The 13,244-nt window shown below is 40.5% G+C and overlaps 1 long non-coding RNA gene across 1 annotated transcript in view, besides 2 other annotated features; it reads right to left on the minus strand.

The window, feature by feature from the left end:
* Positions 1-13,244, minus strand: part of LINC02645 (long intergenic non-protein coding RNA 2645) — a 55,210-nt gene that overhangs the window by 19,664 nt on the left and 22,302 nt on the right. The window lies entirely within an intron of this gene.
* Positions 10,661-11,348: an enhancer, noted in NCBI's record as "OCT4-NANOG-H3K27ac-H3K4me1 hESC enhancer chr10:2518769-2519456 (GRCh37/hg19 assembly coordinates)". NCBI's record gives its function as "activates a minimal SCP1, AML or CMV promoter by ChIP-STARR-seq in primed H9 embryonic stem cells {active_cell/tissue: H9 hESC(primed)}" and the evidence as "EXISTENCE:reporter gene assay evidence [ECO:0000049][PMID:30033119]".
* Positions 11,349-12,034: an enhancer, noted in NCBI's record as "OCT4-NANOG-H3K27ac-H3K4me1 hESC enhancer chr10:2519457-2520142 (GRCh37/hg19 assembly coordinates)". NCBI's record gives its function as "activates a minimal SCP1, AML or CMV promoter by ChIP-STARR-seq in primed H9 embryonic stem cells {active_cell/tissue: H9 hESC(primed)}" and the evidence as "EXISTENCE:reporter gene assay evidence [ECO:0000049][PMID:30033119]".

The raw sequence follows: 13,244 nt of genomic DNA on the forward strand, positions 1-13,244 counted from the left end.
TGCATGCTTTCCCTGTTCACTCATCATCCCACAGAAACCTGACGTCCAATGACCTTTTTACCATCCTTATGGTATTATTTTCCAAAATGTCCTATCAAGGGGCTCAGAAAGAGATGGTGCTATTTCAGACTAGTGACTTTCACTCAGAAATTTGCATTAAAGAGTATTCATATCTCTGTATAGCTTGACAGTTTATTTTTATTCCTGTGTAGTAGTTCCTCTTACACCACTACTTAATTATCCACTTCACAGTTTGTTTAGTTATTATCCTATTGAAGGACATCTTGTTTGACACTAGTTTTTGATGATTATAAATAATGATGCAACAAGTATTTGCGTGCAGGCTTTTGTGTAGACATACTTCTTCAAATCAGTTGGCTGAAACCTCGGAAGATGATTGGTGTTCATATGTTGCACCAATAGTAAAAGTAAGCTTTGTACAAATTTTCCAAAGTTTTCCAAACTGAATATACCATTTTTTTCCTTCCACCAGAAATTAATGAGAATTTATGTTGCTCCAAATCCTCTCCAGCAATCGTATTGTCAGTCTTTGCAATTTAGGCATTCCAATAGGTGTGTGGTGAACTATTGCTGTTTAATTTGCATTTCCTAAATAACACATTATGTTGAACATCTTTTCATATGCTTATTTGCCACCTCTCTATCTTTCTATCTTTGGTGAGGTGTTCAGATTTTTTGCTCATTTTTATATTAGAATTTTTTTAACTGTTGGGTTTTAAGTCTTTGTACATTTTACATTTTTACATACAAATCTATCACATAAATGTTTTGCAAATATTTCATCCAACTCTAAAGCTTGTCTTATCATTCTCTTAACAATGCCTTCCACAGAGTATAAGTTTTCAATTTTAATAGTGTACATTCAAATTTTTTAATAGGTCACTAATTTGGTATTTTATCTAAAAACTCATTCTCATAGGATATAGGAATATAACATTTTTACATCTGTCCTTTCACCTTATTGAGAGAGATAGAACAGATCCAATTCTTCTTCTACGAACCAGCCTTAAGGTAGAAACAGTAAGACATCGTGGTTCCCGCCTCACTGTTTTATTAGTTTGCTGCAAAAGTTAATCGTGGTTTTTGCCATTACTTTTAATAGCAAAAATCAATCCTTTTTATCCTTATTTTTTTATGTATGAAATGAGTTTCCCGGCTCCCATAGATCCTACTGTTTCCTCCAACCCTCTTAACACTATCTAAAGTCCAGGTTCCATCTCCTAGTGAGAATCCTTTAAAGGAGACTGTGAAACCCAAAAGGAGTGAATGTTGATGGGGGTCGGTCCTGACCCTTCCCAGTGAGGAAGTGACCACCCCTACTGTTAAGATCATGTTAAGATCATTGACTCCTCAATGCTCTCCTGTGTTGTTCTCCAAGAATTTCTCTGAGCTGAGCTGTTTGCCCTGCTTATGCCCCCACCACAAAGGCAGCTGTATCCAATGGGTACCTTGTCCTGTGGTCTTGGGACAACTCGAGAGGTCCATGCCAGCCGACTTCATCACATTCAACTTGTTCTTTCACTTGGATCTGCTTTCCTCCCTCCTTTTCAGGTTTGTTCCTTAGAATACTCCCTGGCACATGTCCTCCAAGTAAATCACTGCTTCAGAGTCTGCTTCTTTTTTTTTTTTTTTTGAGATAGAGTCTCGCTCTGTCGCCCAGGCTGGAGTACAGTGGCATGATCTTGCCTCACAGCAACTTCCGCCTCCCAGGTTCCAGTGATTCTCATGCCTCGGCCTCCCGTGTAGCTGGGATTACAGGCACCTGCCCCCACGCCCAACTAGGTTTTTGTATTTTTAGTAGACACGGGTTTTCATCATGTTGTCCAGGCAGGTCTTGAACTCCTGACCTCAAGTGATCTGGCCGCCTCGGCCTCCCAGAGTGCTGGGATTACGGGCATGAGCCACCATGCCCAGCCCAGAGTCTATTTCTTATGACGCATCCACACGACCATGAAAAGCACAAAAATACACCGAAGAGTGAACTGCCATCATGAACTGCTCCTGGCTGCACATACAATGTGCTTGTCACAAACACTACAGTTCTGCTCTCAATAAACTCACATTCTACTGAGAAGACTGCATAACCACACAAAAATGAGTACAGTTAGAATAAGAACAGAAAACCATGCAACATAGGGAGAAATTACGATATAGTGGCTTAAAAGCAGACATTTTGGCCATTTAAGTTAATTCAACTTACTCTTATTTTAATTAGATTTAAACACATGTTGAAGTTTGTGCTTTAGTACAGAGATCAGTCATTGTCAGAACTCTCAAAGTTCTTAAATTACGTATATATAGATTTTATCTGATGAGAACAAAGTAATGCACTAGTAGGTAACACCATGGCTTTCTCAAATCTCGTCAATCTCACTTTTTTTTCCATCAAAGGTTGAGTTATCAAATTCTGTGGGGATGCTGAGCTGTTCACACATAGATAACCAGGCAGCATTCACCTTGAGTCCACCGGCCCCTACCCTGGGGCCTCTATCATGACCCTGAGGAGTGGTTCACCTGTGGGGATTATTTTATATTTAGACCTGAAATTCTGGCTCAGCCAAGGAGCTTTGACCAATGGGGGATGGGAGGCATTGGATAAATAGTTTACCCTTCTTTCATGCATGCACCATCCTGAGGCACCTGCCAGGTCATCTATGGAAGTGAGCACGTAGTCACACATAGCCCCTTAGGGGAGCATCCCTGTCCTAGCCCTCCCTCATTACCTGAGTCTCCTTCCTAGCCTGTTCCCCTTGCTCCCTGGATCTCATTCTTGAATGTGTTATTTGCACTGAGCTAGTGTCTTAGGTTTACGTTCGTCATGGGGAACTCGACTAAGCAACGTGTTACAAATTACAGGAATCAAGGAAGCTTCCTGAAAAGTCTTGGTCAAAAGGATATTTCACACATGGAGAGATGCATACATAATGCAACTTCCACTCACCTCTTCATCCCTGGCTCCCTCACTGCCCCTGGGACTCTGTTATTCTGTTGGTGAAATAAAAAAAAGAAAAGGAAAAAATCTTGCTTGTTTTTTACCTTTTGTTTTGGTTTTGCTTTTTACCATCGAAGACCTGTTTTGTAAGGAGCATCAACCCCACATAATTCGTCTGTTGTAATCATATATTTATCACAGCAATGCTGCCTTTCCTCTTGATAACTTGTTTGTATTTCCTCTTTTTCCCCTCCTGCTGCTATTTTATTTTCTATAAAAGCAAGAGTGTTAGTGTTTTTATTTTTTTGAATTTGTTTTTTTCTTATGAGGTTCTGTTTTTATTTTCTTTTCTCTGCTGGAGCAAGTAGATCATCTCTGTTCTGCTGGACTAATTCCAAGCTGCCATTCTCTCTACCTCCAGCAGGTACCTCCTGCCAAGCCAAGAGCTGAGAAATCAAATTTTCTCAGCCATTGATTAGACCCAATTAACTATGGAGATCAGTATCAGTTATGAAGATGGCTGAAATGAATGGAATAGGTTAGTTGTGGACCAGTCTTCCAGCACATATAGACACAGATGAAATTGAAATAAAGTTTGATATTATTTGAGCTGGTTAAATGCTCTGAATGAGCAAAAGAAGTGTAAAGAGTTTCTATCCTTTTCTTGTCATAATACTATCATTTTATAACTATAGAATTCACACATGAGAGATTCAGAATTAAATGTTCTTATATGTGATGATTGGGTTAAAAGGAAATCATTACATACAAGAAATATCATGTTCAAATAAAAATTACAATTCAGAAAAATCTTTGGAAAGACACTTGTATTAAGGGCTACCATTCATTGGGGAATATCCACGTTACAGGCAATGAATACATGGCAAGAGATATGGAGATGAGACATATGGATAGAAATATAGATGTAGATATAGATATGTCCTCATTTATATCTATTTTGCAAAACTTTTTCTTACCTAACATGTTCAAATACAGAATATGATTATTGTCCATTTTGCCATTGAGGAAATTGAAAAGACATAAGGAAGAGGAGTTGAGTAACACATTGAAATTCCTTGGCTTAACTCACAGCAGAACACACTGAAATTCCTCGGCTTAATTCACAGCAGACTCACATGTGAACCCAGGCTTATGACCTCAGCACCAATTCACTGTAGCTTTCCAACTTTTAAGTAATATTATCCACTTCTTCAGTGACTAATGTTAACTGTTTTACGTGCTTTAATTCTATGAAGAAGGATATTCCAAGGTAAACATTATCTCACCATTTGACACATAAGGTACCTGAAGCTCTAAGATGCTAAGTCACTATCATGATCCTTCAGATGATGGATAAAGGAGGTGGCCCCTGCACCAGGCATGTCTCGCGTTGCAGCCTGGAGTCTAAACTGTTCCACTCTGCTGCTGCTGTGCAATGCAGTACCAGTGTGCCCTCAGCCTCAGCCTCCCTCCGTCTTGCCCTGGGAAGGCCGCATGTTGCTTCAGAGCCACCTGCATCTGCCCTTGTTATCCCCAAAGCTGGATGCTGAGCATTCTAGCCTTTCATCTGTCCAACATCAGTGAATTTTGTGTATGATCTTTCTGTGTTGTTCTTAGAGCAGATAAGTGCACGTGTTCCCTGGTGACAGGAGGCAGCACTAAGTCTCTTTTCGAAGAGACATTTCTCCTAGGAGTCGAGCTGACAATCCCAAGAACTATGCTAAGTAACAATACATCTGTGTGTGTGGTGGCCAAAGTGACTCCAAAGAAGGAGCTGTGTGTGTCACTGTCACAGTCGTGTTGAAAGCATATTGAGACAGCTGTGTTCAGATGAGAGGGTTTTCAGGTGTGGCTGCCATGGCCAATGGCCTTTGTTCTCTACATATTTAGAAAGTGATGCCCTGAGTTAGAGTTGATGGGAGAACATTACACTTGATTTGCAAATGAACTAGACAACTTTGAGAAGCAGGTTGAGGCAGAAGGAAGAGATGATTCTTGAAATACAGGAGACTGATTATTAAGGCCAGATCCAGCTGTATGTCACGTGGAGAGATAAGCATTCTTTTCATGTTCCTCTGTTAATCTTTCTCAGACAAAGCACAGTCACTGCTGCCCCTGAAGCCACACTCTCTCTTGGGCACATTTCCTTCAATCCTGGGGGTACCAAGGTGTTAATAAATTATTATGTTTGATATTTATCCCTCCTACATGGCAGGTTTGTATTTGAACTAGGAGCTTCCAGAAAACAGAAAGCAACTTGCTCAACAAATAAGAAGTGGATGTCTCCTATGAACTGAGCCCTCTCCTGATGCTGGGGAGGAGCTGTTGAGTGGCCCAAGCAGAACAGTCCCTAATAGTAAGGAGTTGATATTCTGCTGTAAACACTAAGCATTGAGGGTAAAGAAACCTCCTCAAGCAGGGAGGTAAAGATAATTTTATAAGTACAAGAGCCTCAAATCATTCCTTGAAACTGTTTGCCTTTCATGCCCATGTAGACCTGGCCATAAGATTTATTTAAATACATTAATAATCAGACTCTAATAACTCAGGATCAGGAACATTGATGTGCTTTTTAAAAAAATTGGTCGCCATTCACAATACAGTGGCTTCTGAGGGCAGACACACCTGGGTGGTGTCTCCTGTAGTGCTGAATGAGCTCCTTCCAGAACCTGTCATAAAAATTTCGGGATTAAAGCATCCCATTCCATCAGAAAGTCTCCCTCTAAATTACCACAGACTTGCATTTTACTCAATAAAACCTCTCCCCAATTCTGCCCACGTAGCTGGAAAGGCAGACGATGGCTGTGCTATATCATTATGTTCCTCCGGCTTCTGCCAACTCAAACGATTACAGGCAATTCTAAAACTTTCTGTCCTATTGTTCTGATAGGTCTGGAAATAAATTTAGAAATTCATTATGAGCATCAGTGCTCACATTCACATCTTTTTAACTGAGAAAACAAAGCACCCTCTCCTCCCGCTTTATAAAGAGAATTTGGGATTTGGAAAATGCTGAAAAATTAATATGTTATTCCTAATTCCATATGCATATCCACACTTGTAAAACAACTGCATCCTTTTAATGTCAGACCATAAATTGCTTGGGATGTTATTTGATCTGCCTTCCATTTGTCAGCCAAGAAAATCATCTCATAAGATATGGGAAACTGTCCAATCTAAACACATGTTTTACTTATACTTATACAGACCTGCCCCTTTTCAGAATCAATTCAAAGTGCCTTAAAACCAAAGGTTTGTATTTTGGAGCAATTATACATAAGCCAACTATAAACTGGATGTACTTGGTATGATAAGGCTTTAAATTTGTCTCTGGGTTTCTCACAAATGAAGCAAAAAGAAAACCACTGTCACCTTACAGAAAAAGAAGGCACCCTTCCTTTTAGGAAGTAAACAAAGTTTTTTTCTAGCCTCAGACGTAAAACCAAATCTATTTCACCATCAAGACTTAGTATAGTAAACATCATTTTCGTAGTAGGCACATTTATAAACATTTTTCTCTTTCTTAGAAACATTAAAAAAAAAGTAAAACACTTTTTAAAATAATCTGTTAGTTAAAATATCTAATAATCCGTTAGTTAGATATTTACTAATTCAAATTCACTAAGTTAAGTTAGCAAGGTTCTCAGTAAGAACTTTGTTGTATTTATTCAGAATTTGTGCTAAATGAATAAATTGTAGCTGCTTTGCCACATGGACCACACAAAGGGTAAATAAGTGAGATGATGAATATGTTAATTTGCTTCACAATAGTAACCACTTTAATATCTTTATGTTCCTCATAACATCACATTTTATACCTTAAATTATGCAAAATAAAATTTATTTAAAAATAAAGAAATCAGAATGAAACAAAACCACAAAATACATAAGATGTGCATATTCCTTTCTATAGACAATTAGTTTTGGAATGAAGAATGTGATTAATAATATTTTTAATCAAAAATGAGTCTTCTACTATGATCCACTGAGACAAGCATTGTATCATAATTTTATCAATAGATTTGATATTAAGAATAGGATAGCACAGAATATTTAATTATCAAGACCACTTTAGATACATCAAAACAGTAAAATCTGGCTAGCTAAATTCAGTGAATTTGAATTAGTAAATGTCTATGTAACAGGTTCTTTTAAAAAAAGTTTTGCTTCTTTAATATTTTCAAGAAAGAGAAAGAATATTTAAAAATGTATCTACTAAATAAATGATCATTACTATACTAAGTATTGATGGTACAAATTTGAATCAAATATGGAAACTTATTTCCTGGGCCTTCTAGAGTAGAAGAGAAGATGAGTGAAATACAATGAATGAAATAAAAATGACAAAGGATAAAAGTGACATCAGAGAAAGATAGAACCAGAGAACTTCATAGAACACTGTTAAAGTATTAAACATTAAAAAAGGAAAGAAGTAGTAGTGAACATCAAAGATACTGATTCAATCACAGTATCATTATTAAGGAAGCCAGGAGCAAAAACCATTCTGAGATACAAGAAAGTGTATTTAAATTGTACCCATTTGAGTTGTGTCCTGTATGTATATATGCATACATGTGTTTGCATTTGTGTTATTTTCACTGCTTCTTTGGGTCATAAGTTATTTTCTAACTGATTCTGCTTGATTTGTTTGGTAAAGCTTTCACTTTATGCCAGCAAGAGGTTCAAATATGTCCAAATCTCTCAAAGATTTTTCAAATCTCTTCCAGGGTGGTTATGAGGGCTCAGGGTCTGCACATGTTAGATTATTCAGGTGAGGGGTGTGTGTGTGTGTATGTGTGTGTGTGTGTGTGTGTGTGTGAGAGAGAGAGAGAGGTGGGACTGAATACAGAAAGAGACAGAACCCATTATTCTATATATACTGTTGCCACAAGCAAAAAACCATCACATCTCATTTCCCCTGTGATTATAGTTTTTATATTATAACTATAAAGAAGAATTATCTAGTTGCTCTAGCCACTATACCTACTTCTTCACCCACCATTTCCTTTGACCTCACCTTAATCAGATTTTTGAACTCATAATTCTATGAATCCACTGTGTTTGGAGTCATCAATAGTTTTTATCCTTCTGTATTAGTCCGCTCTCATGCTATTAATAAAGACATACCCTAGACTGGATAATTTCTAAAGGAAAGCTGTTTAATGGACTCATAGTGCCACATGGCTAGGGAAGCCTCACAATCATGGTGGAAGACCAAGGAAGAGCAAAGTCACCTCTTACAGGGTGGCAGGCAAGAGAGCTTGTGCAAGGGAACTCCCGTTTATAAAACCATCAAACCTCGTGACACTCACCATCACGAGAACAGCATGGGAAAAACCCGCTCCCGTGATTCAATGACCTCCCATCAGGTCCCTCTCACGACACATGGGGATTATTACAATTCAAGGTGAGATTTGGGTGGGGACACAGCCGAACCATATCACCTTCCAAAGAGAACGATCCGCCTTTGGTCTTCATGTTATTTGGCCTCTCCACTGCTCAGCGTGTCATACCTGCTCTTCCCTCACCTGGCTGCCAGGGTGTGCATCTCCACTGAGCTGAGTGTTTCAGACCTGCTCTTCGCTCACCTGGCTGCCAGGGTATGGCACAACCCAGTGTTTTCCTACACCAATGACTTCCCCCTCCCACCTGCTTTGCTGGTTCCCCTGTAAATATTATTGTATCCCAGGGTTTATTTCTGGGCCCTCTTTGCATCATCCGTATCTTCCTATACCACCTCAGGCAGATCCATGACTTCATGCAGCAATTCAACAAGACAACTAGCAAATATATTTTTGTAGCTTCACTCTTTCCCCTGAGTCTACTGTATGGGTGATCGGGAGTGTTATCGAGTGGTCTGGAAAGGGGAGATGAAAAGTCAAACTTGATCCACTTCTGACCTGGATCATACAGCCAGAAGGAGTGCCCTCGGGGGGACGTGGTATCGTTTTCTACTTCATAACTGAGTAATGAGGTCAAAATAAGTAATTTTCCACCCACTGAAAGTCCATCATTGTAGCTGACCTTTCAACCTTTGCTGCTAAACCCAGCACCCCGTGATGTTGAATGTTCTTTATTCCCAAAGTGACTTCACTGAGTGTCCGGCTTCGGTTTTTTTGTTTCCTTGTTTTCACATAGCTAACAACGTGTCATGTTCTTAATTCCTGGAGTGACCGAAGCTTGGGGGTTTTGCTTGTTTGATTTTACACAGTCCATGATCTTATTAAACCATTCATCAAAACACAGAAACCCAGATCCAGGCCCAGCATTCTGGACCCTACGTCCCTTAAGCTCATTGAGAGTTTCATTTACTGTATCAAAATCAGCATGGACCATTGAGAAAGCTTCCTGTACTTTGGGATCTGTGTGGATTATGTTTAAAAATATTTGTAAAAGATACAGCCCCTGCTGCCCAGACACTCGATATGAGTGCTGTGGGAATAGAGTTTGAACTCCACCATCAACTCTGTAACTGTGAGTAGAAAAGGGGCCAAGCCATGACATTGTAGATTTGGGAACCCAGGAGCCCTGTGTGGGTAGAGCAAAGGCATCTGGTCGAGTTAGGGTACAGGAAGACGCAGAAAGAGGTTTTTGGAGACATTGGGCCAGACTCTTCTGTAGCAACTGAGGCTCCAACTAATACTCCAGCAGGGTTAGAGTTAGGGTTAAACAGAACTAGGCAGATGGTTCATGAGGGTGGAAAGCAGTGGAGATTGGGGTGGGAGGATCAGTCTGTGGGGGAGCAGCCTGTGGGTGTTGGAGGGTCACTGACTTCCCAAGGGGTCAGGAAGAAGAAGGGCAGTGGCCCAGTAAGAAAGGAATGGGTCCTGGATTAGACCCAGACTCCTGTCTCCACACTGGAACTCTCTGCACTCAGGCAAGAGAATTAATTACCTGAGCTTTTTTTTTCTTCTTTTTTTTTTAATTTATACTATGACACTTTTATTTCCTAATTTGCTGGCTTGCTGTAAGTTTCCCAGCATTAGTAAGGAACATTCCTGGAGCACCAGAGACTCACAAGATCTGCCTCTTCGTGGCTTCACGTGGCGCTCAGGCCTGTCTTCTTTCCTGGCTCTCCCTGCTGGCCCTGCTGCCTGCGTGTTCCCTTCCCACAAACCCCATGCCCTTCTCATTGTTCTGTTCTGTTCTGTTCTCCTTCTCGTTTGTCCTTTTCCTAGTGTCGTTTTTCTTTCAGTTCATCACCCTCTCTCTTCCCTGGACCATCAGTCACCATAAAGGCATGGCCTCAAGTGACCAAATGAAAGCTGATTGTTATGTTGTTATTTTTAACCTGAAAGAAACCAAAAGAAGGAAGAAGGCAAAACCTGTGTTCTATGTCAGGAAGTCAGCCGGGCAATTCTCAGATGTCTCATTTAAGACCTCATTTAATGAAAACACATCTCAAGGGTAGTTTTGAATATGTCAGTGTTCGGGGTTTTAGGAACTTGAGGAAGGCCAGGTGGCTCACAGATGGAGAGCACTCCAGTTCTGCAGGCCGTAAGGTTTTTCCCCTGTGGGCCGATGGACAGAAGATGAGGGGGGCTGGTCCTGGATTGAGGTCTGTGCTTCACTGTGTTTTTCTCAGTGCGAAGTTGGAACACAAGAGCATGAGTGAAACTTATAATCGTGAACGATATAATTTACTGCGCAGGCACCGCCCAAGTTATGACTGGGAATTACGAAGCTCAGTCAGGAGGAACAGATTCTATCTTCTCTGACTCATTGTTTCATCTGGGACGGAGGCTGATAAGAAAATAGGTCCCGTCGTTTTTTTTGCAGGACATGGTACTCTCGGTTTTGAAATAGGGAGAGAACTTAATTTCATTGCCAGTTTTGCATTTTACCTGCCTATTCATTGCGATGCTCATTTAGAAACCTACTGTTTCCTTGGCAACTGCTCTTTTCTTTTCCTTCCATTGTGTCTTATTAGTTAACACACTGTTAAAACTGTGTTAAAGGAAAATTATAATTTATAACAATTTATCTTGTTTAGCAATAACCTGACCATTGTGGTCATTCTCTCCACAGTTAACATACAGCCACATGGCAGAGATAAATGATAAACCACGCTGACGATAATCTTAGGAGGTAAGTGGTCGGCAGAGTGAAAAATCACTGCACGGGAATCTAGCAAGATTTTTTCCAGACGTCTCTGGGGGTGTTGAAAAGGCCATGAGGTGTCCAGGCTCCTGGTACACCATGAAGTAATTTCCAGGGCTTGCTTGGCCATGGGTGAGACAAAGCCAGAAGGAGAGAGAGAATTATGGGCCTCTGGGCTATTCAGACTCAACATCTTGGAAACCTGAGGCCCAGGGCCCAGCAGGCCTCTCACTGAATATGACCTGGAACTATTTGGCTGTCCCCAATTCATTATCCAATGTCTGTCTCTCCAGATGGCATGCCCTCTGCACCTGCTCCCAGTGGCCTCAGGGGTGCAGGGCAGAGGGTTCACTCAGCTCTGCATCTTCAGCTCACACCAGGACGCCTTCCCTAGTGAATAACACACAAATACCAGGGATGCCTTCCAAGGGGCTGGCAGGTGGCTGCCTTTGTGTTCCATGTTTACTGGGTCTGACTGTCAGCCTGTGGCCCCGGCTGGCTTTTGAAGCACTGTTTGTGGCACCCAGCCGTCCATAACACAGCTAAGATCTGCCTGCTCACATCACATTGCACATGGGCGTTTGCTGTGATGAGAAGTCATTGCATGTTTCCAAGCAGCCATTCTCACATCACATTGCACATGGGCGTTTGCTGTGATGAGAAGTCATTGCATGTTTCCAAGCAGCCATTCTCAATTTCAGGTGGCATTCGTTCCTGATGTATTGGTAGGGAACAAAGAAGGAAGTGTTAAAAGAAAAACTTCAGCCAAACTAAATTTAAAGGGGTTTAATTGAGCAATGAACGGTTCCTGAATTGGACAGCCCAATTGGACCCCTGAATTGGACAGCAGATTCAGAGAGATTCCAGGAGCCTGAATTTAAATTAAGTTCTAAAATGAGACTTAGGTTGACTATTATGAGCAGTTTGATGGTATTCCCACAAAAATTCATTAGTACTTGTTTACAAGTAGATTTCTTTTAATTTTTTATTTTGAAATAATTATAGATTCAATTTCACAGAATATTGCAAAGAAAATGCACAGGGAGATCCCGTGTCTTTTTTTTTTTTTTTTTTTTTTTTTTTTTTTTTGAGATGGAGTTTTGCTCTTTTGCCCAAGCTGGAGTGCAATCTCCTGATCTTGGCTCACTGCAACCTCCGCCTTCTGGTTTCAAGCAATTATCCTGCCTCAGCCTCCTAAGTAGCTGGGATTACAGGCACCCTCTGCCATGCCTGGTTAATTTTTGTATTTTTAGTAGACACGGGGTTTCACCATGTTGGCCAGGCTGCTCTCGAAATCCTGATCTCATGATTCACCCGCCTTGGCCTCCAAAAGTACTAGGATTACAGGCATGAGCCACTGCACCTGGCCAATTCCGTGTCTTTTTGACTCAATTTTCCCCAACAGACAATGGTGATATTATACATAACTATAATACAGCCTCAGAACCAGAAACTTGACATGGATAGAATCCTTGGCGCTTACTCAGATTGTATTAGTTTTATACACACTGGTTTGGTGTGTGTGTAGATTTATGCAGTGCTACTCCACGAGCAGATTCATGCCACCACCTCCACAATCAGTACACAGAACGGCTCCATCACCAGGAGGTTCCCGTTGTGGTCACACCCCCTCCACCCCATTGCTAACCCAGACATCCACTAATCTGTCTGCATCTCCACAATTTTCTAGTTTCAAACATTATATAAATGGAAACATAGGATATGCAACATTTGGAGATCAGCTTTCTTTGTTCAGCATAACTTCCTTGAGATCCTCCCAAGATGTTTGTACCACAGTTGGTTTTAACCCTCCGTCCCCTGAAGGACATTTCTGGTGTTTTCATTTTCTAGCTCTTATACATAGAGTTGCTATGAACATTCAAGTGCAGGATTTAGTGTGAGAGTGATTTCTGGGTCATATGTTAAGTACGTGTTTAGTTTTAGAAGAAACTGCCAAAATATATTCTGCATACTTCACCATTCCACATTCCTCCCAGCAATACATGAGTGACTCAATGTATCAGTATCTTCTCCAGCATTTAAAATCATCACCATTTTTTAAATTTTAGCCATTATGTCAGGTCTTTAGTGATATCTGATTGTTATTTTAATTTGTGTTTCTCTATTTTTCTGTGTGCTTACTCTCCACCTGTGTATGCTTTTCAGTGAAATGTCTGTTCATATCTTTTGT

Source organism: Homo sapiens, chromosome 10 (genome assembly GCF_000001405.40).
Source record: "Homo sapiens chromosome 10, GRCh38.p14 Primary Assembly".
Taxonomy (NCBI): Eukaryota; Metazoa; Chordata; class Mammalia; order Primates; family Hominidae; genus Homo; species Homo sapiens.